The sequence below is a fragment of the Homo sapiens genome, chromosome 2, assembly GCF_000001405.40.
Source record: "Homo sapiens chromosome 2, GRCh38.p14 Primary Assembly".
Taxonomy (NCBI): domain Eukaryota; kingdom Metazoa; phylum Chordata; class Mammalia; order Primates; family Hominidae; genus Homo; species Homo sapiens.
In genome coordinates, this window is record NC_000002.12 from 169,641,407 (window position 1) to 169,668,864 (window position 27,458).

At 38.0% G+C, this 27,458-nt stretch overlaps 1 protein-coding gene and 1 pseudogene across 4 annotated transcripts in view, besides 1 other annotated feature; both read right to left on the reverse strand.

Annotated features, from left to right (window-relative positions):
* Nucleotides 1-4,018: 4,018 nt before the first annotated feature.
* Nucleotides 4,019-27,458, reverse strand: part of CFAP210 (cilia and flagella associated protein 210) — a 48,981-nt gene continuing 25,541 nt past the window's right edge. For all 4 annotated transcript variants that reach the window (XM_047443327.1, XM_011510590.2, NM_001085447.2 and 1 more), the window contains 5 exons: nucleotides 20,874-21,030; nucleotides 12,669-12,808; nucleotides 8,923-9,115; nucleotides 7,776-7,940; nucleotides 4,019-4,776 (listed from right to left, as the gene is read on the reverse strand). In XM_047443327.1, the coding sequence (XP_047299283.1) occupies nucleotides 4,435-4,776; nucleotides 7,776-7,940; nucleotides 8,923-9,115; nucleotides 12,669-12,808; nucleotides 20,874-21,030 (997 nt within the window). In that variant the 3' untranslated portion in view covers nucleotides 4,019-4,434. The remainder of the gene's footprint in view (nucleotides 4,777-7,775; nucleotides 7,941-8,922; nucleotides 9,116-12,668; nucleotides 12,809-20,873; nucleotides 21,031-27,458) is intronic.
* Nucleotides 6,239-6,439: a silencer, noted in NCBI's record as "peak3919 fragment used in MPRA reporter construct". NCBI's record gives its function as "represses an SCP1 promoter by STARR-seq MPRAs in K562 erythroleukemia cells {active_cell/tissue: K562}" and the evidence as "EXISTENCE:reporter gene assay evidence [ECO:0000049][PMID:32103011]".
* Nucleotides 17,118-20,144, reverse strand: LOC100421474 (CYFIP related Rac1 interactor B pseudogene; annotated as a pseudogene).

A 27,458-nucleotide genomic window follows, 5' to 3' on the forward strand; every position in this document is an offset into this window, starting at 1 on the left:
CAGTTTGGTTTTGTATTTTTTAAATTGTATTATCCAGCCTTTTAAAAATTAAAAGCTAAATAATGAAAATAAACCAATTAAAACATACTTTTACTCTCAGATATACAGGTATTTACATTATGAAAAAACTGAACAAAGTTTTAACAATACTGAGCTTTAAGAATTTAGCCAGCAGGGAAAATTTCCAGGTTTGAGAATGTTCTAATGTAAATATTTAATCATAATACTTCAGATTGTAGTGTGTCTTTTGCCCAGCAAACTTTCAAGGTTAAGCTCGGAATTTGTATTACTGTCTACTAGATCACTACCATTTGCTTCTTAAGTCCTCCGCATTTTTTTCAGCATTAGGATCACTGTAATAGATCCTGTGCCTATAACAGAGTGGTGAAGTCATGTAAACATAAATGTTAATTGAATTCTGTAAAACATTACCTAGTTTGGGGGCTGTTTTTTCTTACATTAGACATGTAGGGAAAATGCACTTAGTTGAGAGTGCGTCATTGAAAATATATGCCTAGTTATACTGAATATTGACAATGAAAGGTATATACCTAGGTAAAAACCTTCTGAACATTCAGTAGTTTGTATGTGTTAACACGTGAATATTATTAAACTCCCAAAATCTGGAGTGTTCTTAAAAGCTTTATCCAAGAAAATGTATAAAATGCAAGTGCAACAAATGAACTGCAAACTGTGCATTAAAATAACTTCAGGCATCAATTCGCTTTTTCTATTTACTTCCTAGGTTTCTTTCCTAAACATATTTCCTTACCTGATAACTTTGTTATCATAATTTTGTTTCATAATTTTTACATTTCCCCACTCCCATCAAAGTCCTCTCAGTAATCAGAATGCCTTGTTCCAATTTATGTCTTTGCCACAGATTTTATCTATGAGTTTCTCTTATCAAATTAGCAGATTAGAGTAGTTGCGTTTCCACTGCTGTGCTTCAGTTCTTTTCATTGAATTATTTTGTGATTAACATTGTGTAGCCTTACCTTTCTTCTCAGTATACTCTAGTAGAAAGCCCAGCCCAATTTAAAGTAAAATAAATTGTATATATAAGGCAGAAAAACTAGTAATGTCTGGTGTTTTATGTTATCCTTCACTCAAACTAAGTTGGTTGTATAACACTTTTATGTAATTAACCGTTACGTAGAAACTTATTTCCTGTTTTATAATATGGGGGAAGATAGCTGTCTAAAATTACTAATTACCACTATATATTGTATTTATGTAATTTAAAGGAAAGGATATATGGCAGAAGTTCCCAGACTTTCTTGGTTCACTTTACCTGTGTCTCAGTAATTTTAACATGGTGTTATCCCTGCGCCAGAATAAATACCTAACAGATCGGTTTATTAAAAGGCCAGGAGCACACCTATAATCCCATAACTGGGAGGCTGAGGCAGGAGGATTGCTTGAGTCCAAGAGCTTGAGGCTGCAGTGAGTTGTGATTGTGCCACTGCACTCCAACCTGGGCCACAGAGTGAGACCCAGTCTCTAATAAAAAATAAATAAAAAGTTCACATAGCTAAAGTATATCTAACAACTTAGCCATTTGAAATTTTAAAAAATATTTTTACAGTTCCATTCTTAACCACAATTAGTTACTAATGGAATGTGTGCAAATGTTGGTCACAGCACAACTTCTCAAACCTCAAAATCAGATCACACACCATCCTCTACTATAATACATTGATTTTGTGCAATATATGAGTTTTATCCCATCAGCTGCTGAAAATTCAGCTTTACAAACAGGATATCATCAAAAGGCACAGTGCATTTAATATGTTGAACTACCTCAAGCTAGTCTTACAGATGTCAGGTAATTTGTTTCAAAAATTTGTGAGTTCACTGTGGTTCCTCAGTATGCCTTGGCACACAATTTGGCAATCAGTAGATAGTGTTGTTTTAAATAACCAGCTATTTTACTCCTTTAAAACAGTTCATTTTTTAAAACCCGAGGTCCATAAACCCACAAACAGTAACTCAGAATGATGGTTGCCTACAGAATCTGCCATTTTAAAAAAGTACAACCCAGGTATACTAAGCCACAATCTTAGATGTATGTTAGTCACTGTGCTGTGCAGTCTATTAGAGGGCATTGTGGAAGTCCTTAAAACTGTATGCACAATTGTAGAGTATATGTGTATGTGTACCTTACTGCTGAAAAAGCCACTAAGTTTTATCAGATTCCAAGAGGCTCATGACATAAGTAATGTTTGCTCTAAGATTTGGTCTCTTATAGAATGATACACTGAACAATTTACACCTTTACCCAGCATTCCCCTGTGTAGGAATCTATCTCAAAGGTTAACTGACAAAAATATGAAAAAAAAAAAAAAAAAAGGCAGCTGTTAATTACAGAATTTATAATAGCTGAAGACTGGAAACCACACAAATATCTATTGGTATGCCACTGGTTGAATAAACGGGTACACCCTTGCAAGAGAATACTATGTCAGTTGGAAAAGAAGATATTTATATCTGCTGTGTTGTGTCTCTAAGCTATATTAAGTGAAAAGAACGAAGTTATTTTGTGTAAGTAAAATATATGTGTATTTGCTTTTAAAGAGAAATAAGCAAAGGATACAACAGTGAAATGGCAACCTAAGGAAGGAAAAGTATTTGCAAATCATTTATCTGAAAAGGGATCAATCTAGAATACATAATAACTACAACTCAACAACAAAACAAATAACATGAAAAAAATGGGCAAAGGACTTGGAACAGATATTTCTCCAAAGATGATAGACAAATGGCCAGCAAGCATATGAAAAAACGTTCAACGTCACTAATCCTTAGGGAATGCAAATCAAAATCACAATGAGATATCATCTCACAGCCACTCAGGATGTCTACTGTCAAAAAAACATGTTGGTGAGGATGTGCACCTTGTGCACTGTTGGAAATGTAAAAGGGTTCAGCTGCTATGGAGAAAAGTATGAGTTTCTAAAAATTTAGAATTATATGATTCAGCAATTCTACTTCTGGGTATATATCCAAAAGAATGGAAAGGATCTTAGAGCTATTTGTACGTCCATGTTTAAAGCAGCATTATTCACAATAGCCAAGAGGTGGAAGCAACCCAAGTGTCCATTCATGAAGGAATGAATAAACAAAATGTGATATACATACAATGGAGTATTCAGCTTTAAAAAGGAAGAAAACTGACATAAACTACAACATGGATGAACCTTGAGGACCGTACACTAAATGAAATAGTCACAAAAGGACCTATACTGTAGTGGTCAAAATTCACAGAAACAGAATGGTGTTTCCCAGTAGCTGAGGGGAGGGGGAAATGGAGACTAGTTGTTTTATACAGAGTTTCAATTGTGCAAGATGAAAAAATTCTGCAGATTGTTCAGCAATATGAAGATACTTAACACTATTGAACGATATACTTAGAAATGGTTAAGACATTAAATTAGGTGTTCTGTGTTTTTTACCTAAGAAATGAAAAAAAAAATTAAACAGTGGGGGAATGCAGTTCACAAAATCACACAAAATTCAGTGGTACTAAGTACATTCACAGTATCGTGTAGTCATGACCATTATCTAGTTCCAGAAGTTTTTGGTGCTCCACCTGGAAACCCCCTACTCATGAAGCAGTCACTCCCCATTCCCCTTCCCCACAGCCCCTGGTAACTGCTAATCTGCTTTGTCTCTTTGGAAACAAGTTTTGTTGTCTAAAGTTGGCAAAACTACATGTAGAATTATTTTAAGTGACCTCAAAACATGATAATGTGTACATGTCTAGTAAGATATACTCTATAAAATAAACCACAAAGAAGTCTTCATTCAATAATCCTATTGTTAGTGTAATAATGCTGGTAATGTTATCTGATACTAACTGCTGAAGGACAAAGCAAATAAGCATATGAATTTCTGCTGAAGAGAAATATATCAAGGAGAATATTATTCAGCCATAAACCAAAATGAGGCACTGATAAATGGCACAACATGAATGAACCTTGAAAATATGCTAAGTGAAATAAGCCAGACACAAGGCCACAGTATGATTCTGTTTATTCAAAATACCCAGTATAGGCAAAGCAGATAAAGTTACCAGGAGCTGTGGGGAAGGGGAATGGGGAGTGACTGCTTAATGAATGGGTATGGGGTTTCTAGTAAGAGCACTGAAAAATTCTGGAACTACACAATGGTCATGGCTACACAATATTTTGAATGTACTTAATACCACTGAATGTACATTTAAAAAGTAAACTTGTGTATTTTACCACAGTTAAAAAAAGGAATCTCAAAATTGGGGTTTTATATATACCCAAAAGAAATACTGAGAACAATCAATTAAATCAGACATAATTGTACTTAGATGAAGAACAGCTTTATTAACTGAAATCCATTTATATTTGAAGCTCATATATGCTACAACTTAGTCTTCTCAATGTTAAAAATAATTTTTTTCTACCATGTAAAACCTAGCCTTCTCTTTGACTTTTGAAAATTATATTTTGGTCCCTGAGAGTTATAAAAAGGGAGCTGGACTCCAGTAACATCATTTGCCTGATAGCTGGGTCTTAATCCACCTCTGTCCACAAACACTGGTCCACGGCCACCTCCAGGTCCTTCCTGTACAGCTTTTACAAGAGGGTAAATATATTTATTTGTTGTTTCCGATTCAAGTTCAATTACCTCTCTGGCATAGTCCTGAAATTCTTTCTCCTTTTCAGCCACAAGAGCTTCAGTAAGTCTGCAATAATCTAATTCTGCTTGTTTTGCTTGCTTTGCATTAAACTTATTTTTGGCCTATTTGGGAAAGAAAGGAAATTTAACTTAATATTGGTTAAGAACATGAACTTTCTAAATATACATAGCATTTGAAAATGTAGGTATAATTTTCTAAACTCATTGATACTTTACAAGTTCTGATTTAACAACTATATACTATCATTTATTTCAGAATCTTTCCTATCATGCTCAAAGTGGTGGTGCAATGAAACCTTTATTAATAGCCTTATGTGATACATTTGCAAATAGCACAGTGAAATAGCGAAAATTATGAAATTTAGATAAAACTCAGGTAACTGAGTTTAGAGTCCTGTTTCAATCACAAGATGTGAACTTTGGTGGTTTAGAATGCACACCCACCATTGTCTCTAACCATCCACTATTCTGGAGGAATTCACTCAACTCTACTGTGCTGGGTCAGCCCAATATACTATGTCCCCAGCCACATAAGATTAAATCAGCAGTGAATATCTGGACTAAAACCATTTACATTATCTATTTCCCGAAAATTTAAAATTGGAACAGTGAGTGACATTTATCAATGTAGGTTGAGAAGGCACTGAGTGGAATAAGTAGGCAATTTGCCAAAAGCCAATTTACCAATATTTTATACAAATTTTGTCGTTTAATTCTTTATATTAATTTACATTGGATGAGATTCTTTTTATGGCTTTTCTGTGATGCTCTGGTTGGCAACTTCTCATTTTGTATTCTCTGTGGCATTTTAAGAAATGTTGAGTTTATTTTTTAAAATAACAGTTACTTTGACTACTTAGGAATATATTTAATATTCATAAAAATATTTCTCAAAATCCAAAATGTTGGCATAAAATAGTAACCCAAACCTGATATCTATCATAAATTTAAATTTTTGATGGAATAGAGCAACCATATTAGTGTGAAATATCAAATTTTTCATTATTGAGTGCTACAATTCAAAATTCAGTTTACATACTATTTGTGAAATTGGGGATAAAATGCCAGAGTTTTAAAAAGTAGAAAATGACAATAAGATTGGAGAAAAAGTCAAAAAAAAGCTAAAATCGATCTCTAATCGAAGGTAAAATGCTAATATTTGGGAACTTAATAAGCAGCAATTTGGATATGTTTAGTAAATGTAGAAAAATATTGAGGGAACAGAAAGAACCACTTGAAGCACAGAAAGGAAGTGACAATGGAAGGAAAGAATTACTATAATGGAACATATGATTGGTACCTCACATTTGATATGCATTAAGCATAAATATATAAAGAAAAAGTTCCAAAAAATTAAGTTTAAAATCCTAAAAAACGCTAACAGATGAAGGTAAAGTACCTTCGAAGTACATTTGGAAGATAATAGCTAATTAACTGTCTGAAAACTGGAAAATAAGGCAAAAAAAATCAAGTATTCTGTTTTTTTCTTTAAAAATTGTACCTAAGAGGAACCAAGTATTTGATCAAGAAAACTTCTTAAAGACTTCAACAAGTAAATCAGAAGGATTCCAAATACTGATCTTATTTGATCGTGATTGAAACAACAAACTATTTTGGCACCTGGCCAAAAATTTAAAACTTTTATACATCAAAGATACTATCAATGGAGTAAAAAGGTAACTCATGGGATGGAAGAAGACATTTCCAAATCATGTATCTGATAAGAGATTTAATACACAGAGTATTTTTAAAACTTCTAAAACCCAACAACAAAAAATCCAATTCAAAAATGGAGGCCGGGCACAGTGGCTCATGCGTAGTCGTAGCACTTTGGGAGGCCGAAGCCAAGGTGGGCACTTCAGGTCAGGAGTTCGAGACCAGCCTGGACAACATGGTGAAACCCCATCTCTACTAAAAATACAAAAATTAGCCCAGCGTGGTGGTGGGCACCTGTAATCCCAGCTACTTGGGAGGCTGAGGCAGGAGAATTGCTTGAACCCTGGAGGCAGAGGTTGCACTGAGCCGAGAGTGGGTATCATGCCACTGCACTCCAGCCTGGGCAACAGAGCAAAACTCTGTCTCAAAAAAAAAAAAAAAAAAAAAAAAAAAAGTGAAAACCAAACAGAAAAGGACAAATATTGTCTGATTCCATTTATGAGGTACCTAGAATAATCAAATCCATTGAGATAGTAAAACAGAGGTTACTCAGACTGGAGAAAAGAGGGGATAGGGAGTTACTGTTTAACATGTACAGAGTTTTAGTACAGGATGATGAAAAACCCTGGAGATGTATAGTGGCCATGATCAATGTGAATGTACTCAATGCCTCTGAACTGTACACTTAACCATGCTTAAAATGGTACTTTTTATGTTATGTATATTTTACCACAATAAAAATCAATTTTAAAAAACTCAGCACTAAGAAAACAACCCAATTAAAAATTGGCAACACTCTTAAATAGACACTTCACAAAAGAAGGTATGCAGATGGCTAGCAAGGATGTGAAAAAAATGTCCATTATCTTTGGTCATTAGAGAAATGTAAAATAAAGCCATAAGATATCACTATACTAGAATAGTTAAAATTAAGGGATGACTATCAAGTGTTGATGAGTATGTGGAGTAAGTTGTGCTTGCATACATTGCTGGTAGGAATGGAAAATGGTACAACCATTTCAAAAACAGGTTTTAGTTACAAATGATTGGATGCTAGGTCCTCTACACATCTTTTAAAATCTGATATCTCCATTCCTCAAATCTGAAACCTATGAGATCGCAATCAACATAGTCTCTGAGATATGGGAAAAAAGTAAAACAAGATGAACATTATGGCCTCCACATGCATTTGTATTTTCTTTAATATTTACTGAAGTATAATAGACACTAAAGAAGGATAAACATTCATTTAAAAGATAAAACTCACATGGGAACTTCACTGGAGATAGAAACAAACCTCACATTTTTAATACATTTTATTGTGTCATAACCATAATGACCATTTTTTTCTTACCTGATGAAACTGCTTGGGAGTAGAAAACTAGCATGAATTCTGTATTATATACTTATTACTAACATAATTATAAACATTCAGGAGTAATTACCATTTGCTGAATATGGGCATCTTGAACCTCTTGATGTTCTTTATCAGCTTTGCATTTTTTCTCCTTTTCATGTTCCCAGAAAATCTGATCTGCTTTCATGACAGCCAGCAATTGTTCTTTAGCCTCTATTTTTCTTTGTCTTTCTTCTTCCTCTTTATTTTTCATCTAGATGTTTAAAGGCAAAGGAAACATATAAAACCAGTTATAGCAACCAGTCTTGTCTGAAAAGGCACAGAGTCAGAGAGTTGAAGCAGAGGAGAGTCAGCCAGGAGCAATGCAGGAGCAGAAAAGTGCATGCACCTGGGGTGGTTCCCATGCGGCCAGTTTACTTTGGTTTTGTTCTATTTCCTGAATATCAGAAAATACCCAAGTGCTATAGGACAATCCTTATTGGCTTGAAAAAGATGAAAAGCAAGATCTTCTCAAGGAAGGGAAATATATGTAAGTAAAAAATTAATTGCTCCAGCCATACTTGGTGGCTCAACACCTGTAATCTCAGCACTTTGGGAGGCCGAGGTGGGCGGATCACCTCGGGAGGTCAGGAGTTCGAGACCAGCCTGACCAACATGGAGAAACGCTGTCTCTACTAAAAATACAAAATTAGCCAGTCATGGTGGCGCATGCCTGTAATCTCAGCTACTCTGGAGACTGAGGCAGGAGAATTGCTTGAACCCAGGAGGCGAAGGTTGAGGTGAGCTGAGATCGCACCACTGCACTCTAGCCTGGGCAAAACTCTGTCTCAAAAAAAAAAAAATTGCTCCAATGTGTATAAACTATCCAAATTAAATGTTATGACAGTCATGTAAGATATGTTTTAAAATATTAAGAAACAGAAATGTATAATTTTTACATGGTTTGTCTTTAAAACCTACAAATGAAAAGTATAACAAATAACCTTTGCGTTTCAGATGGTTCTGAAACAGAAGAGATTATTACTTTGCATCTATAAATATCTTTTTTGTAACTGTCGTGTCATCTTTGTTAGGAAGTAAACATTGTCCAATTTCAAAAATACAGGAAGATAATTCATACATTGTTTTTAATATCTTGGCTAGTTTTTGGTTAGAGAGGCAGATGAGATGGAAAACACAGTGGAAAGGTCCTAACTCTGTCTTTCTATTTTTATTTTCATAATTGAATTGTTTACCACAATGGCTCGATATTCTGCAATTGTTTTTAATTCTGCTTTGTTTTTTTCATCTTTTTCTCTTTCTCTTTTTTCCCATTCAGCCTCAGCTTCTGCAATATCTCTAGCAATAATCATATCTTCATTGTCAAGTTTCTCTTTCAACAGTTCACTCAGGAAGTTATGTATTCTTTCTCTTCGTTTCTCCATAAGCCTATAACAAAATAACCATACTCGTCAAATCTTCATGAACACATGTCCAATGGAGCCAACATAATTTAATTAGGGAATCTGAGATATTTTGCAGTCTCTTACAAAACTAACAGGAGCCCCATTGCTCCTTACATATATTATTTTAAGTGGACATTATTTTTTAACTATAAAGTAACATATATTCTAAAATCCAAAGACAGTAATATGTATAATCTGTGTGTGTGTGTGTGTGTGTGTGTGTGTGTGTGTGTTTAAGAAATAAGATCTTAAAATTATCTACACTGAAAAATATTTTAGGCCAGGTGTGGTAGCTCATGCCTGTAATCCCAACACTTTGGGAGGCTGAGGTGGTAGGATCGCTTGAGCCCAGGAGTTAAGAGACCAGCCTGGGCAAGATGGCAAGACCCCATCTCCACAAATTTTTTAAGCTGGGCGTGGTGGCTCATACCTGTAATCCCAGCACTTTGGGAGGCTGAGGCGAGCACATCACGAGGTCAGGAGTTCGAGACTAGCCTGACCAACATGGTGAAACCCTGTCTCCACTAAAAATACAAAAATTAGCCGGGCGTGGTGGCAGGCGCCTGTAATCCCAGCTACTCAGGAGGCTGAGGCATGAGAATCGCTTGAACCTAGGAGGCGTAGGTTGCAGTCAGCCGAGATCACACCACTGCACTCCAGCCTGGGCGACAGAGCAAGACTCTGTCTGAAAAAAAAAAAAAAAAAATTTAGCCAAGCGCAGTGGCACGGACCTGTAGTCCCAGCTACTCAGGAGGCTGAGGCAGGAGGACTGCTTGAGCCCAGGGGTTCAAGGTGGCAGTGAGCTATGTACCACTGTACTCCAGCCTGAGTGACAGAGTGAGACTCTATTAAAAAAAAAGAAAAAAAATTTTTTTTGAGACTGAGTCTCACTGTCACCCAGGCTGGAGTGCAGTGGCACAATCTTGGCTCACTGCAACCTCCACCTCCTGGGTTCAAGCGATTCTCCTGCCTCAGCCCAGCTAGTTTTTTTATTTTTAGTAGAGAGGGAGTTTCACCATGTACCCAGGCTGGTCTTGAACTCTTGACCTCAAGTGATCCGCCCGCCTCAGCCTCCCAAAATGCTGGGATTACAGGTGTGAGCCACTGCACCTGGCCACAGAAAATATTTCAATATTTTATCAGACTACCCTGCTTACTCTATCATTGGAGGCTGAGGCTATAAAAGGCCTTTATTTAAATAAAATCAAGGAAATAATCTAATAAAAGTTATCAAAATCCTAAATATCCATCCCCTCACAATACTCTGTCTGGAATTTATTCACAGCACTTTTTTAACTTGATCTGTTTAAATTTCTCCCTTTACACTATAAGGTTCCTTTTTTTTTTTTTTTTTTAAGAGACAGGATTTTGCTATGCTGGCCAGGCTGGTCTCAAACTCCTGGCCTCAAGCAATCCTCCTACTTTGGCCTCTCAAATTCACTATGAGATTCCTCAGGTCAGAAATTGAATGGGTCCTCTCTCTAGTTAAGAGCCTAAGCATGTGCCTGGTACATCATAAGAATACATCTTGTTAAATTAGGGCATTTTTATTTATGAAATTGCATAAAAAATAATTTTGTTGTGACAAATTCACTTAGTGAATTGGCAAAGCAGCATGTGAGAAATGATGAGAAAGGATACAGTGCATACTCCAAGGAAATTACAATTTAAAGTGGAGAAAAGACATTTATGCAAATGTCTTTATAGTTATAGAAGACAAAAGATAATAAATGCCATGAGAAAGCTAGAAAATGATATGGACAAATGAGAAAAAAAGAAAGCCTTCAGAGAAAAGGTGACATTTCTGGTAGAATTCCAAAAAATAGTATTTTAAACAGTTTTATTGATTGCTTACTATGCTCCTGACACTATTCCCGGTGCTGGGGACAGACATAACAGTGAACAAAAACATTAGAAGTTGGGCATGGTGGTGCGCACCTTTAGTCCCAACTACTCAAGAGGCTAAGATAGAAGGATCCCTTGAGGCTATGAGGTTGAGGCTACAGGGCACTGTGATCACGCCTGTGAATGGTCATTGTCCTCCACCCTGGGCAACATAGCAAGACCTCATCTCTAAAAAAAAGTTTTAATAAAAATAAAAATCTCTGCCCTCATGGGGCTTTCATGATTGCTGGAGGAGAGGGACAGTAAACAAAATAAATAGTTTTAAAAAATAGCCGGGCGCAGTGGCTCACGCCTGTAATCCCAGCACTTTGGGAGGCCGAGGCGGGCGGATCACGAGGTCAGGAGATCGAGACCATCCTGGCTAACACGGTGAAACCCCGTCTCTACTAAAAATTACAAAAAAAAAACTAGCCGGGCCTGGTGGCGGGCTCCTGTAGTCCCAACTACTTGGGAGGCTGAGGCAGGAGAATGGCGTGAACCCGGGAGGTGGAGCTTGCAGTAAGCCGAGATCGCGCCACTGCACTCCAGCCTGGGCGACAGAGCAAGACTCCGTCTCAAAAAAAAAAAAAAAAAAAAAAAAAAAAAAATATATATATATATATATATATATATATATATATATATGTATGTGTGTATATATATGTATGTATATATATATAGTGCTATATATCAAGCAACGAGGGCGAGGAAAGCAGGTAAAGTGATAAGCAATTGGGGAGGGGGTATAATTTTAAATAAAGTAGTCAGAGAAAGCCTCAATGAGAAGGTAATATTTAAGTACAGATCTGAAAGAGTTAAGAAAGCAAGTTACGTGCTCTCTGGAGGTGAGCATTCCTTAGAGCAGGCAGAGGCCAGTCCAGTGCAGGTGAGAAGAGGGAGAGGAGGGAATAGTAAGAGAAGAGGTCTGAGGGATAAGGCTGGGAGGGATGAGCTGGGAAGATGGAAATTTGGGTAGGTGGAGAGCCTTATGGGCCATTGTAAAGACTAAGTGAGATGTGAAGCCATCAGAGGATTTTGCACAAGGGGAAAGCATGATTTAGACAGAAACCCCCTGTACTGCAATCTGGCCTCCTACTCTTACCTCTACACCCCATACCAAACTGCTCACTAATATAAGCAATGTCCTCTAAATCTGATGAATACTTCATTTTAAAAATTGTACTTAATCCCATTACGACCTAATACTGATGACTGCTCCCTTCTTACTGAGAGTCTTCTCTCTGATGTTTCCCTGGTTTTCCTCCAATCTCTGGAAACTATTTATTGGTCTTCGTGTTATCTTCTTTTTCCATTTGACTTTTAAATGGAGTTCCCTAGGGACTATGCCACCTTCATTTCTTACCTACTCACCCTAGGTGAGCTCATCTGTATCGACAACTCCAACTACCACTTATATACCAATGACTCACAAAGCCATCTTCAGCTCATACTTCCTCTGGGATGGCAGATCAGCATTTCTGACCATCTACAAGATGATGTCCTCACACCCACGTCCCAAACTGAAATCAAGTCACTGAATGCTCTAGTCATATATAAAATAAGATCTCTGTTCCTAAAGACTACTGTCATAATAATCATAAAATCATAATAATTTCAGATAGTACTTTATTATACACATTATTAAAGCCTACCTGTGTGTTTCAGCCTCTTTTTCTTTCCCCATTTGTATAAGACGCTTTTTTGCTTTGATGAATTTTCTCATCTTTTCATCTTCTTCCTCTTGCTGCTGCTGTTCTACAGCTTTGATAATATGTTTATCCTGCATATGTTCCTTGGGGGAAAAATTGTATATATTAACTTATCACAAAGAAAAATATCTTTCAACATATCAGTAGCTAACAAGAACCTGTCAAATGGTCACAGCTTCTGACCCAGTTATTTCTCTCCTGGAAATTTTATCCCAAAGAGATGATCAGAGAAGTGCATAAAGGTTTATGTGTCATGTAATTTATCTCAAAGTTATTTATAATAGCAAAAAAATGGAAACAACCTCTAAATATTCAATCATAGAGAATAATCATTGAGAATATAGTTAAATAAATCATACTCTCAATTACATGAGATGTGATTCAAATAATATAATCAATAAGTAGGTGGGGGAAAGCAGAATATGTAACATTACATAGTATATTCCAATTTCACAAATACATGTAAGTACAACTTTATAATGTATAAATGACTGGAAGAAATGTGTCAAATGTTAACAGTAGTTATCCCTGGGGTATGAGATAATAGGTAACTTTTATATCTTCTTAATGCTTTTCTGTATTTCTCTTCAAGTATCTCATGTCTTTAAAGTATACAATTTAAAATAATTGTATAAGAAAAAATACACCAAATATATATATATAATATAAAGTTCATTTAATGTTTGAATAGTCATATGGTTCAAAAACCAAAAATGTTTTTTTACATACACAGTGTAGCGAGCGTCCTTCCACTCCATCCACTATGTCTCTTCCTAATCCTCCCTCCAGACTCAAATCACTATTGCTAGTTTCTTGTCCAAACTTTGCTTTTGCATACATATAAGAAAAAACAGATATGTATTCTAACAAAAATTGTAAAAGTAGGTCACTAGTATTTAAAACAAAAAGTAAAATCTGTTCATATTAGCATATGTTCTATGATCTCAGCCTGAGTTAGCCATCATAAAAACAGATGCCATTGAGCACAATAGCCTGAATATATAGATATATTAGTATATTCTGTTATTTAGACAGGGTGTCTGTTGCCCAGGGTGCAGTGGCATGATCACAGCTCATGAAAGCCTTGAACTCTGGGGCTCAAGGGAAACTCCCACCTCAGCCACCAGAGTAGCTGGGGCTACAGGCACGAGCCACCGTGCCTGGCATATTCTGTTATTATGTAAGTAGAAACCAATTCAAGGTAAAAGTTGTTAGGGGCATCACTTAATCTTCCAATATATTTATAACTCAGGGTCTACTATGTGCCCAGCACTCTTAACTAATCTCCTATTTTATGGGTTAATTTTAAAAGCCTGTAATCTGGATAGGAAATATATTGGTCAATATGATCAATATGAAAAACTAAAGCAAACAGCAAACTGTTAAAAGTGTTTTGGATAATTCCTTACATGTTTTATTTTGCTGTTTTCTCCAAGTTTATTCTAATATTCACAAAGACTTTTTATAATACAAAAAATACAGATTTGATTAACACAGAGTTAATTCTCATTTTTCAATATTGAAAGCTTAAGCTCAAGGTCATATAGCCAGTAAATGGCAGAGTTAGCATTAAAAACTAGGTCTGTCCTACTCCAAGCCTACTTGGAGACATAAAAATTATTCCACCCCTTAACCAATAATCAGATTTTAATGAAAACAATAACAACATTTCAAGTAAAAGTCTTAGGAATTAAAATTTTCATAGCTAAAATAAAAAAATTAATAGAAGACTTAGAATACAAAGTTGAAACTCAGTAGAACAAAAAGAAAACGGCAGAAACAATTAGTTGCCTAAGCTTCGTTAGCAGCAGGACCCAGATTTTATTCAGGGTAGAAATATGCTCAGCTGAAAGACTACATGTGCAGCTTTCTTTTCAGCCAGGTGTAACAAAATTATGACCAATGAGATTCAGGGAAAACTGTTAAGTGGGACTTCTTGGAAAATTCCTTAAAAGGAGAACAGCCTGGGCAACATACCAGAACCATCTCTACAAAAAAGACCACAAAAATTAGACAGGTATGGCAGCACATGCCTGTAGTCCCAGCTACCAGGCAGGCTGAGGTGGGAGGATCACTTAAGCCCAGGAAGTCAAGGCTGCAGTGAGCCAACATCGTGCCACTGCACTCCAGCCTGGGAAACAGAGTGAGACCCTGTCTCAAAAAAAGAGGAAGAGGAAGAAGAGGAAGAAGAAGAAGGAGGAGAAGGAGAAGAGAGGAAGAGGAGGAAAAAGGAAGAAGAAAGAGGAAAGAGGAGGAAGAGGAGGAGGAGGATGAAGTAGAGAAGGAGGAGGACGAGGAAGAGAAGGAAGAGGAGGAAGATGAAGTAGAGAAGGAGGAGGAGGAGAAGGTGGTGGAGAAGGAGGTGCGGGAGGAGGAGGAGGAGGAGGAGGAGAAGGAGACAGGAAATAGAGTACTCCCTTTTGACCTTCATCCTTTCTTCTTTCTTGCTATCCAGAATGTGGAGATGAGGGCTAAAACTCCAGCAGCTATTCAGGGCCATGAGGCAAACTTGAGAACAGATGCCATCTATGTACAAAGAATAACAGAGTAGACCGGGCGTGGTGACTCACACCTGTAATCCCAGCACTTTGGGAGGCTGAGGCAGGCAGATCACCTGAGGTCAGGAGTTCAAGACCAGCCTGGCCAACATGGTGAAAACCCATCTCTACTAAAAACACAAAAATTAGTGGGGTATGGCGGTGGGTGCCTGTAATCCCAGCTACTTGGGAGGCTGAGGCAGGGAGAATTGCTTGAACCTGGGAGGCAGAGGTTGCAGTGAGCTGAGATCATGCCACTGCACTCCAGCCTGGGTGACAGAATAAGACTCCATCTCAAAAAAAAAAAAAAAAAAAAAAAGAACAGAGTAAAAAAAAAAGAGAAGAAGGTGTCGAAGGTGTCTTAGTCCCTGTTAATTCTATAGCTGCCATTACCAGACACCCCTGCACTTTAAACCTGTATATTATTTTGGGTTTTCTATCACATGCATTTAAGCCTTCTCTTAACTAATGAGAAAAGATTCTTAGACATTAGAGCATTATTTCAAAAAATCCAATGTCTATCAGAGGGATTCTAGAACAATAGAAAGATAAAATGGGAGGGGACAAAATTATCTAAGAAATAAAACAATAAAAGTTCTCAGGATGAAAGAAATATGTTTACAGAATAAAAGCATCAACTGAATGCCCAGAAAAATGAATGAAGGCACATAATTCAAGGCACATCTGTAAAATTTTGGAGCACCAGAGATAAAGACAGGACCCTAAAACCATTCGGACAGAAAGAAGAAAAAGAAAAAAAGAAAAATGGCTGGGCACAGTGGCTCATGCTTGTAATCACAGCACTTCAGGAGGCCAAGGCGGACAGATCACTTGAGGCCAAGAGTTCGAGACCAGCCTAGTCAACATGGCGAAACCCTGTCTCTATTAAAAGTACAAAAATTAGCCGGGTATGTGGCACATGCCTGTAATCCCAGCTACTCGGGAGGCTGAGGCACAGGAAGTGCTTAAGCCCAGGAGGCAGAGGTTGCAGCAGTGAGCCAAGATCATGCCACTGCACTCCAGCCAGGGAGGCAGGGTGAAACTGTCTCAAAACAAAATGAAACAAAAAAAAAATAAGAAAGAAAAGTAAAAATGATTACATATGTCAGATGAAGATCATCAATGGCATCATACTTTTCAGTAGCAATACTGGATGCCAGAGGAATATGAAACAATTAATACAAAATTCTGAATTCTGAACCCAGAATTCTATAACCAATCAAACTGTAAATCATGCATGACTTTAAAAGATAAGCTTTTCATACTATCATACTTGTCCTTAAAAAATAATAAAATAAATAAAAATGAGTAAAAAATAAACTTTTCAGATAATTAAAAAATTTTACCTCTCATACACCCATTCTTAAGGAAGCTATTCAAAGGTGTATTATAGCAAGACGAGGGAGTAAATCAAGAAAGAAAAAGACATAAGCTTCAGGAAATCAGAGATTTAGCCCTAGAAAGTAATATTCTATGCACACATCACAGTTTTTAATGTTAACAAAGGTGAAACACATAACATACACCCTTACAAAAAAGGTCAAAATGTAAAATTAAAACTTTAAACTCTTAAAAACTACAAAAAAGTTTGTGTTGGCTACCATTTGTACAACATATTTAAACATTTTCATTTTGTGGCAGCACATGAAAAAAGTGATAGTAGAAAATAAAGTCATTGGGGGTTTTCAAATAGCAGAATTGGCAGTTTTGCCATGTAGGAGAAGCAAATAAATATTAGTTTCCCCAAAATTCACATTTGAAAATATTTAGATAAAAGTCACAGAATTTTTCTCAGTAGAGACCCCAATAATTAGCTGCTGTAGGTTACCTGTTTGAAAGGACAATATCTCTTTAGAGTATAACTTTACTAATTTGGGTATAGAGAAGAAGTCTTAGGAATAAGAACATGATCTTAAAGGAGAGAAGAGGAACAGAGGAAGACATAAAAGCAAGAAAAATGTCATGGTAATTGCAATCACTAAAAAACTGTATTCTCAGTCAGTGCAGAATACTGTCTTCTGTCTACAACAGGTGCTTATTCCCGAACTGTTATTGCATCATGGATTTAATTTGCTTGGAGTTAGTCTGATCATTCAAATGTTTTATTGTGTACCGGAGAGCATTTAGAAGATATTTTACACTATTAGGAGGTTGGTCCTTAAGAACTCTGATACAGGCCAGTTGTGGTAGCTCATGTCTATAATCCCAGAACCATGGGAGGCCAAGGCAGGAGGACTGCTTGACCTCAGGAGTTGGAGACCAGCCTAGGAAACATAGCCCATCTCTATAAAAAATTTTTTAAAGTAGCCAGGCATAGTGGTGTATGCCTAGTCCCATCTACTCAGAATGCTAAGGTGGGAGAATCACTTAAGCCTGGGAAGTCAAGGCTTCAGTGAGCCGTGATCATGCCACTGCACTCCAGCCTGGGCAACAGAGCAAGACCCTATCTCAAAAAATAAAATAAATAAAAAATCAGGAAGATATGTTACCTTTGTCCACCAGATTGGGCTTTAAAAAAAAGAACTTGGTACAACCTTTCATACCAAGTTTGGAAGTTTTGGCAAATGCTCCCACTGAATATACTTAATCATAGAGTCTTATGATACCTACTGTATTAGTCCATTCTCAAATTACTATAAAGAACTACCTGAAACTGGGTAATTTATGAAGAAAAGAGGTTTAAATAGGCTCAAAGTTCCACAGGTTGTACAGGAAGCATGGCTGGGAGGCCTCAGGAAACTTAACAATCATGGCATAAGGCAAAGAGGAAGTAAGCATGTCTTCAAATGATGGTAAGACAGAGAGAGTGTGAAGGGGGAAGTGCTACACACTTTTAAACAACAAAATCTCATGAGAATTCACTCACAAGACAGCACTAGGAGGATGGTGTTAAACCATTAGAAACCACCCCCGATGATCTAATCACTTCCCATCAGGACCCACCTCCAACACTTGGGATCACAATTCAACAAGGGATTTGGGTGGCAATACAGAGCCAAACCATATCATTCTGCTCTTAACCCCTCCCAAATCTCATGTCCTTCTCATATTTCAAAACCAATTATGCCTTCCCAACAGTCCCCAAAGTCTTAACTCATTCCAGCATTAACTCAAAAGTTTCTTTACTGGAAGACTTTTTATTATGGCTTCAATCTCATCCCTTGTTATTGGTCTGTTCAGGTTTTGGATTTCTTCATGGTTCAATCTTGATAGGTTGTATGTGTCTAGGAACTTATCCATGTATTCTTGATTGTCCAATTTATTGACATATAGTTGCTCATACTAGCCTCTAATGATCTTTTGAATTTCTGCAGCATCAGTTGTAATGTCTCATTTTTCATCTCTGAGTTTTTTTATTCAGGTCTTCTCTTTTTTTCTTAATCTGGCTAGAGGTTTGTAAATTTTGTTTATCTTTAAAAAAAAAAAGACAACTTTTCTGGCTGGGCACGGTGGCTCATGCCTGCAATCCTAGCACTTTGGGAGTCCAAGGCGAGCAGATCACAAGGTCAGGAGTTCAAGACCAGCCTGGCCAACATGGTGAAATCTTGTCTCTACTAAAAAAAATACAAAAATTAGCTGAGCGTGGTGGTGCGTGCCTGTAATCCTAGCTACTCAGGAGGCTGAGACAGAAGAATTGCTTGAACCCAGGAGGCAGAGGTTGCAGTGAGCTGAGATCACACCATTGCACTCCAACCTGGTTGACAGAGCAAGACTCTGTCTCAAAAAAAAAAAAATCAACTTTTCATTTCACTGTTTTTTTTTGTTTTGTTTTGTTTCTTTCCATTTCATTTATTTCTGCTCTGATCTTTATTATTTATTTTCTTCTACTAATTTTGCACTTGGTTTGTGTCTAGGGATTTTGGGTTTGGTTTGCTCTTGCTTTTCTAGTTCTTTAAGATGCCTCATTAGGTTGCTTATTTTATATATATATATATATTTTTTTTTTTTTCTTTGAGACAGAGTCTTGCTCTATTGCCCAGGCTGGAGTGCAGTGGCACGATCTTGACTCACTGCAACCTCCACTTAGGGCTCAAGCAATCCTCCAGCCTCAGCCTCCTGAGTAGCTGGGACCACAGGCGTGCACCACCCTGCCTGGCTATTTTTTGTATTTTTTGTGGAGACAGGGTTTCACCATGTTGGCCAGGCTGGTCTCGAACTCCTGAGCTCAAAGAGATCTGCCTGCCTTAGCCTCCCAAAGTGCTAGGATTATAGGCATGAGCCACTACGCCTGGCCTGATGGTACATTATTAATCCTTATACAACTCAATGTTCTTCTATAATAGCTGAAATCATTCTGTATAGCAGGATTTGTCATCCTGAGTTCATCAAACCAGAGTGTGAAATGAAGAACTTCTGAAAACTCTTTAGCAGAAGCCTGTTCTTGCACTAGATGCTGGGTGGGAGAATATGGCGTACTTGTCAAGGCTCCCTGAAGACCTTTTAATGCTGCTTCTAACCGCTGAGACAATTCATAAAATTTCTTTAATTTGCCTCCCAGTGGAACAAATGCACCCCATGCCTTCTCTTGCAACTTCTCATCTGCTGGCTGCTGGATTACCTCTTGTATTTCATGGTCATCTCCTCTGTATGACTGTAAGTCCTCCAAGATGCCGTTTGCATCTTTTAATACTACATTCACCTAATTAATTATAAATTTCCTTTTCAGATTCTGTAGGCTGGGCATTTTCAGGCACTGCTTGTAATTCTATCCTTATCCTTTTATCCTCCTCTTGAACCTCCAAGCACTCTCAGCCCCTCTCCTCTGCCCTCCAGGGGCTGAGCTGCACAGACAGCTCCTCAGCAGTGCTAGGGGAAGCCCCAGGCCTGGAGCTAGAGAGCAGTGGCACTGGGACGAGAAGACCCTTCAAACATGCCCCTGTGGTGAACTGCGACAAAAATATTACCATTTGTGGAGCACATATTAATGGCACAACAGACACCAAACATAAATCACCCCATTCATTCCTCACAACTCTCAAGAAAATATATTCATTGTTTTAAAATCTCATTTTCTCTTCTCTCTTTCTTGTTCATGCATGAGAGCACATGCACATAAAACCACAGCAAATATAGCTATCCCAAAAGGATGCACTCCCTTAGAAACCCAACTTAATAGCAACTTGTTTTCTACTCCACTTTTTTTTAAATATTAAAAGTTAGGCATTTGCAGGCACAGAAAGACAAATATATTATGTTCTCACTCATTATGTGTGAGCTAAAAAGTGATCTAGTGGAGGCAGGGACTAGAATGACAGTTATTCTATCAGAAGCTGGTAAGGATGTGGAGACACAGTGGGGATGTACAAACTTACAGTTAGATATAAGGAATAAGTTCTAGTGTTTGATAGCCTAGTGGGGGGACTATAGTTAACAACAATATATTGTACATTTCAAAATAACTAGAAGATTTGAAATGTTCCCAACACGAAGAAATGATAAATGTTCAAGGTGACAGATAACCTAAATTCCCTTACTTGATCATTACATAATGTATGCATGGGTCAAAATACCACATGTACTCCATAAACATGTACAAATATATTATGTATCAATTTTAAAAGTTGGGCATTTGACTTTGAACCTTTTTGGAACTTTTGCCCTTTCAACTTACAAGAAACCGTCTCCTGCTTTCATGCATCTCTTCTCTTTTCTTTTCTAGTTTTTTTCTCATTTCAATTTCATATAATGCATTCTGTCGCTTTATTTCCTCAGCATCTTTTTCTTCATATTTTTTCCTTCTTTCCTCTTCTTCCTCATGTTCCTTTATTCTAAAGCAAAAACATAATTATAATTGAGAACAAAGCAGAAAAATAGGTTATATTTTTAAGAAATGAATTCAATTCCAACCTGGAATGAGTTGAAGCTGCAAGGAAAAATCTGTGAATTTCTTTGGGGGAAAAGAACAGACATTAAATAGCAGTGACTAAAACTAATCCAATCTTGGTTAACCTAGAATTGGCAATACTTTCCTTGCTTCAAAATTTATTTCATTACTCACCCAAGTAAGTGTTCTTTTCCTTTAGAAAGAACCAGTTAATGGGATGACAGTAAGAAGAAATGGTGACATTATTTTACAGAAAGGTTCCTAATCCCTAGTGCTTCCCAACTTCAGCCCTAGATGATGCTACATAAGCCATGGGCCTAGCCTCTCAAGGAATGCAGTTTGATGGAATGAAAGGAAGAAAGGTCTCCTTACTCAACTGACCACTTGGGTTGTAATTCTTTCTGTAGCCAGTATTGACTAGCTGATAATTTCTTCTGAATTGTGAGCCTCCCTGGCTATCTTTCAGAACACATGTGTGAGTTCCTCAGAGATCCCTGAGGGTCCTCCTCACTGCAGAGCCCTGATCTGAGTGATTTAGCTCCAGCTCCATCTCTTCAGCTCACCCCTAAACCCCACCACTATCGCTACCAGGAGCTCCCACACTAAGCAGTTGATTAAAGACTCCAGGTCTCAAAGGCCCTTCATCCAGCAGCCAAACCTCTGCATACTGGCAAGACAGCGCAAGTCCAAGTTGTCTCCTTGCCCATGGAAAACTCACGCATCCTTGCTAGCCAATCAACAATATACAGGCTTTCTCACTACTCTATCTGCCCTCTCTCTCTTTTTTTTTTTTTTCCTGAAAAGGTAGGCATAGGGCAGGTCGACAACCCACCTAAATAGATGAATGTCTGAGGAATAAACCTTTCTTTCTTTAAAAAAATTTTTTTCTATAGAAATGGGGTCTTGCTATGTTGCCCAGGCTGGTCTCAAACTCCTGGACTGAAGCAATCCTCCCGCCTAAGCCTCCCAAAGTGTTGGGATTACAGGCATGAGCCAATGTACCCAGCCAACCTTTCTTTCATATGCACCCAATCGAGAAAACATTTTTTACTGGAGTCCCCTCACTCAGGTTCAGGGAAGGGAAAATTCCCTTCCCCTATGCCATGGAGGACTGTACAGTTAAGTGAGCCAACAAGTTCACTTTGTTACTGTTAAGCCAATTCAGGACAGGAGATTCCTACTTGATTCATCTGTGCAGAATAATAAGCTTTAGAGTCAGATTCACTCTCTTTAGGAGGAGGTAAGAAAAAGATCACTGTTGGCCAATGCTAAACCAGGTTTACGATTGCCCTAAAAATAATAATAAAAAAAAAAAACCAAGCTTCCAGAATTTTGTTAGAATTATTTAATATTTTATATCTACCAATCTCCTAGAAGCAAACTCACAAGTCAACAATCAAGATTTGAAGAACATGTCTGGGCGCAGTGGCTCACGCCTGTAATCCCAGCACTTTGGGAGGCCAAGGCGGGCGGATCACCTGAGGTCAGGAGTTTGAGACCAGCCTGGCCAACATAATGAAACCCCAACTCTACTAAAAAAAAAAAAAAAAAAAAAATTTGGCCGGATGTGGTGGTGCCCACCTGTAGACCCAGCTACTTGGGAGGCTGAGGCAGGAAATTGCTTGAACCTGGGTGGCAGAGATTGCAGAGACCTGAGATCACGCCACTGCACTCTGGCCTGAGTGGGAGCAAGACCCTGTCTCAAAAACAAAAAAAAAGATTTGAAGAACATTGTAAAAAGAGATTCATCCAATTCTAAGACCAGAAGCTTTCAAAGTTTTTAAATTGCTACTTTAAGGGAAAACAAGAAGATACTTTAAAATTTTTCAGCTTTAGCATTTCTTAGCAAATCTGGAAATCACTAACATTATAACTATGCATCCATTGGATAATGCATCATTTCAGCAAAAAATTTACCTATTCTAAGAATAATAACAAAAATGTCTCTAAAGTCAGTTAAAATGTAATATATTGCCAGTGACTTACATAATAATTTACAATAATTAAAAATTTAATTAGCTGTCAAAAGGGACTTTTTCCTTAGTTTGGGTAGTTTGAATAGACTTGTCATCTATATGCCATTAATTTGGTTTAATGCAAAGTTAACTTGTTGAAGTAAATTTGAGATCCTCTAGTTCAAGGAAGAAACACATAACATTCATATCATTACTTCCAGCTCCCATTCCCAAAGCAGAGTCAGCAACCAGCACAAAACTCTTTCCTGCTGATTCTTGGTCCTTCTCAAACAATGCATTGGGAAGCCTCCACCAGGCAATCAGAGTTGAATATGTCAACGCCTTGCTCTTCCTGAGTCAGCTCCTTGCTATCCTTGATTCACATTCTGAAGATTCCAAATCTGTACTTATCTAGCACAGATCTGATTCTTGGGCTTATATAGATGTTGTATAGTTCTCCTGTAAAAGCAAGAAAGACCACTACCCAAAATTTGGTTCAGATGTCCAGACTGATGACACTACATCCCAAGAAAACTTGGTAGAAAGTATTACTCACATGAGGGACTCCTGGGAAGAGCTGGGCAGGCACAAGTAGGTCTTGATTGCTTTGGACAAAGCAGAGGGAAGTGGGACTGAGGAAAAGTTTCTGAGCAGGAGGGATTTAAATTAAGCACTTGTGCCAAAAGAGGAGGAGGAGAGTTCCAGGAGCCTTCTTATCAGCCTGTACAGATGTAGGGCCAAAAGGGAAGTGAGGGTGAGGCCTAAAAAAGAAGTCAGTAGTCAAACATCCAAACTGAGTTCTCTCTCTCTATTACAACAGACAGGTTTCATTCTTTCATTTTTAAAAACTGTTTTTTGAGACTGGTCTCACTCTGTCATCCAGGCTGGAGTGTAGTGGTACAATCATAGCTCACTGCAACCTCATAGTTCACTGCAACCTCAAACTCCTGGGTTCAAGTGATCCTTCTGCCTCAGGCTCCCAAGCTGGAACTACAGGCATGCATCACCACACCCAGCTAATTCCAGCTATTTTTTTTTTTTAAGAGAGACAGAGTTGTTGCAGGGGAAGGATGGCTATCTGGGCTATTGGCATGAGGGTAAAAGAATTTGCCAAGACAATTGTAGATAAAGAAAGGCAAATTTATTAGAAAAAGTATAAAAATACGTTGCCAGTGAGGCAATGGGCAGCCTACAACAGAGAGGCTGACTACAAGGAAACAAGGCTTGCTGGAGGTTTTATAGGATAGTGTTTATGCTGTATGCTGAGGAGGGCTTTGTGCAGTACTGATAACATCAAGGTTGCAGTGAGCTTGTGGTAGTTGAGTACAGGAAGATTGTGAATTATTTGTGCAGAAGGGCTATATGTCCTGAACCAGGAAGAAAGGCAGGCTTGTAGCTTATCTGCATCTTCTTTTGGCTTTTTCTTGCTCCCACCAGCCTGACTCCTTTTCCCTAATTAGGACTCCACAGGGGACTCACTATGTTACCCAGGATGGTCTTTGAACTCCTGGGCTCAAGTGATCCTCCCTGCTTGACCTCCCCAAACTGCTAGGATGATAGGCATGAGCCACCATGCCCAGCCTACCTTGATTCTTATAAAGACAACCCACTAGGCATCATCACCTGGCTATTACACAGGTACTTTACCTTCTCTATGTCTAAAACCAAATTCATCATCCTCCTCTTCTAAACTGATCCTTTTGGTCTCTTTTCTTTATTTTGGTGAACAGTACCACCATCTTTTCAGTTACCTATGCTAGGGACTTAAGAATTATACCTAACTCTTCTCTAATCCTTAGACCTCTCATTCATTTACCTAGTATTTATTGAATTTCTACTACAATGATAAAACAGACATGGCTCACTCAAGAAGCTCGAATTCTAGTGAGGGAGACAAGAAAAAACAAACAAACAAATAAAGTACAGGCATACCTCAGAGATATTGTGGGCTTGGTTCCAAACTAGTGCAATAAAATGAATATCTCAATAAAGTAAGTCACTCAAATCTCAATAAAGTATAGTCACTCAAGCCCACAATATCTCTGAGGTATGCCTGTACTTTATTTGTTTGTTTGTTTTTGCTTGTCTCCTTCACTAGAATTCGAGCTTCTTGAGTGAGCCATGTCATCTACATCTACTGATGTAGCCATTCCATCTACTTCAGGCTTTTGAAGGCTGAAGTGGCTGTGGCAATTTATTAAAATAAGACAATGAAGTTTGCCATATTCATTGACTCTTCACAGAAGATTTCTCTGTAGTACGTAATGCTGTTGGATGGCATTTAACCCACAGTAGGACTTCTTTCAAAATTAGAGTCAATCCTCTCCACCTGCTGCTGCTTTATCAACTAAGTTTATATAATATTCTAAATCCTTTGCTGCCATTTGAATGGTTTTCACAGCATCTTCACCCACAGTAGATTCCATCTCAAGAAACCACTTTCTTTGCTCATCCGTAAGAATCAGCTTCTCATCCATTCAAGTTTTATCATGAGATTGCAGCAATTCACTCACATCTTCAGGCTCCACTTCTAATTCTAGTTATCTTGCTATTGACACCACATCTGCAGTTACTTTCTCCACTGAAGTCTTGAACCCCTCAAAGTCATCCATGAAGTTTGGAATCAACTTCTTCCAAACTCTTATTAATGTTGATATTTTAACCTTCTCCCATGAATCACAAATTTTCTTTTTTCTTTTTTTTTTTTTTTGATGGAGTTTCACTCTTGTTGCCCAGGCTGGAGTGCAATGGCGCAATCTCGGCTCACTGCAACCTCTGCCCCCCGGGTTCAAGAGATTCTCCTGCCTCAGCCTCCTGAGTAGCTAGGATTACAGGTGCCCGCCACCATGCCTGGCTAATTTTTGTATTTTTAGTACAGACAGCGTTTCACCATGTTGGCCAGGCTGGTCTCGAACTCCTGACCTCAGGTGATCCAACCACCTCGGCCTCCCAAAGTGCTGGGATTACAGGCATGAGCCACTGTGCCTGGCCCAAATGTTCTTAATGGCAACTGGAATGGTGAATCCTTTCCAGAAGGTTTTCAATTTACTTTCCCCAGATCCATTAGAGGAATCATTATCTATGGCAGCTACAGTCTTATGAAATGCATTTCTTTAACAGTAAGACTTGAAAGTCTAAATTACTCCTTGATCCATGGGCTGCAGAATGGACGTTATGTTAACAGCCATGAAAACAACATTAATCTCTTGTATATCTCCATCAGAACTTATTACTGCTCATTGACAATGACCAGGTGCATTGTCAATGAGCAGTAATATTTTGAAAGGAATATTTTTTTCTGAGCAGCAGATGTCAATAGTGGGCTTAAAATATTCAGTAAGCCTTGCTGTAAACACGTGTGATGTCATCTTAGCTTTGTAGTTCCATTTCAGAGCCCAGGCAGAGAAGATTTAACATAATTCTTAAGGGTCCTAGGATTTTTAGAATGGTAAATGAGCAATGGCTTCAACTTAAAGTCACCAGCTACATTAGCTGCTAACAAGGGAGTCAGTCTGCCCTTTGAAGCTTTAAAGCCAGGCATTGATTTCTCTTCTAGCTATGAAAGTCCTAGATGGCATTTTCTTCCAATGTAAGACTGCTTCATCTACACTGGAAATCTGTTGTTTAGTGTGGCCACCTTCATCAATGATTTTAGCCAGATCTTCTGGATAACTTGCTGCAGCTTTTACATTAGCACTTGATGCTTCACCTTGTACATTTATGTTATGGAGGCAGCTTCTTTCCTCAAACCTCATGAACCAACTTCTGCTAGCTTCAGGTTTTTCTTCTGCAGTGTCTGTACCTCTCCAGCCATCACAGACTTGAAGAGAGTTAGGACCTCATTCTGGATTAGGCTTTGGCTTAAGGGAATGTCAGGGCTGGTTTGAGCTTCTATCCAAACCATTAGAATTTTCTCCATATCAGCAGTAAGGCTGTTTGGCTCTCTTATCATTTGTTTGTTCACTAGAGTAGCACTTTTAATTTCCTTCAAGAACTTTTCCTTTCCATTCACAGCTTGGCTGTTTGGTGGAAGAGACTCAGCTTTCAGCCTATTTTGGCTTTTGACATGTCTTCCTCACTAAGTTTAATCATTTCTAGCTTTTGATTTCAAGTGAGAGACGTGCAACTCTTCCTTTCATTTGAATACTTAGAGGCTATTATAAGGTTATTAATTGGCCTGATTTCAATATTGTTGTGTCTCAGGGAAGAAGGAGGCCCAAGGAAAGAGAGAGAGATAGGAGAACAGTGCTTGGTAGAGCAGTCAGAACACACAAAATATTCCTCAATTAAGTTTGCCATCTTATATGGGTACAGTTCGTGGCACCCCAAAACATTACAATAGTAACATCAAAGATCACTGATCACAGATCACCATAATAGATACAGTAATATTGAGGAATTTGAAATACAGCGAGAG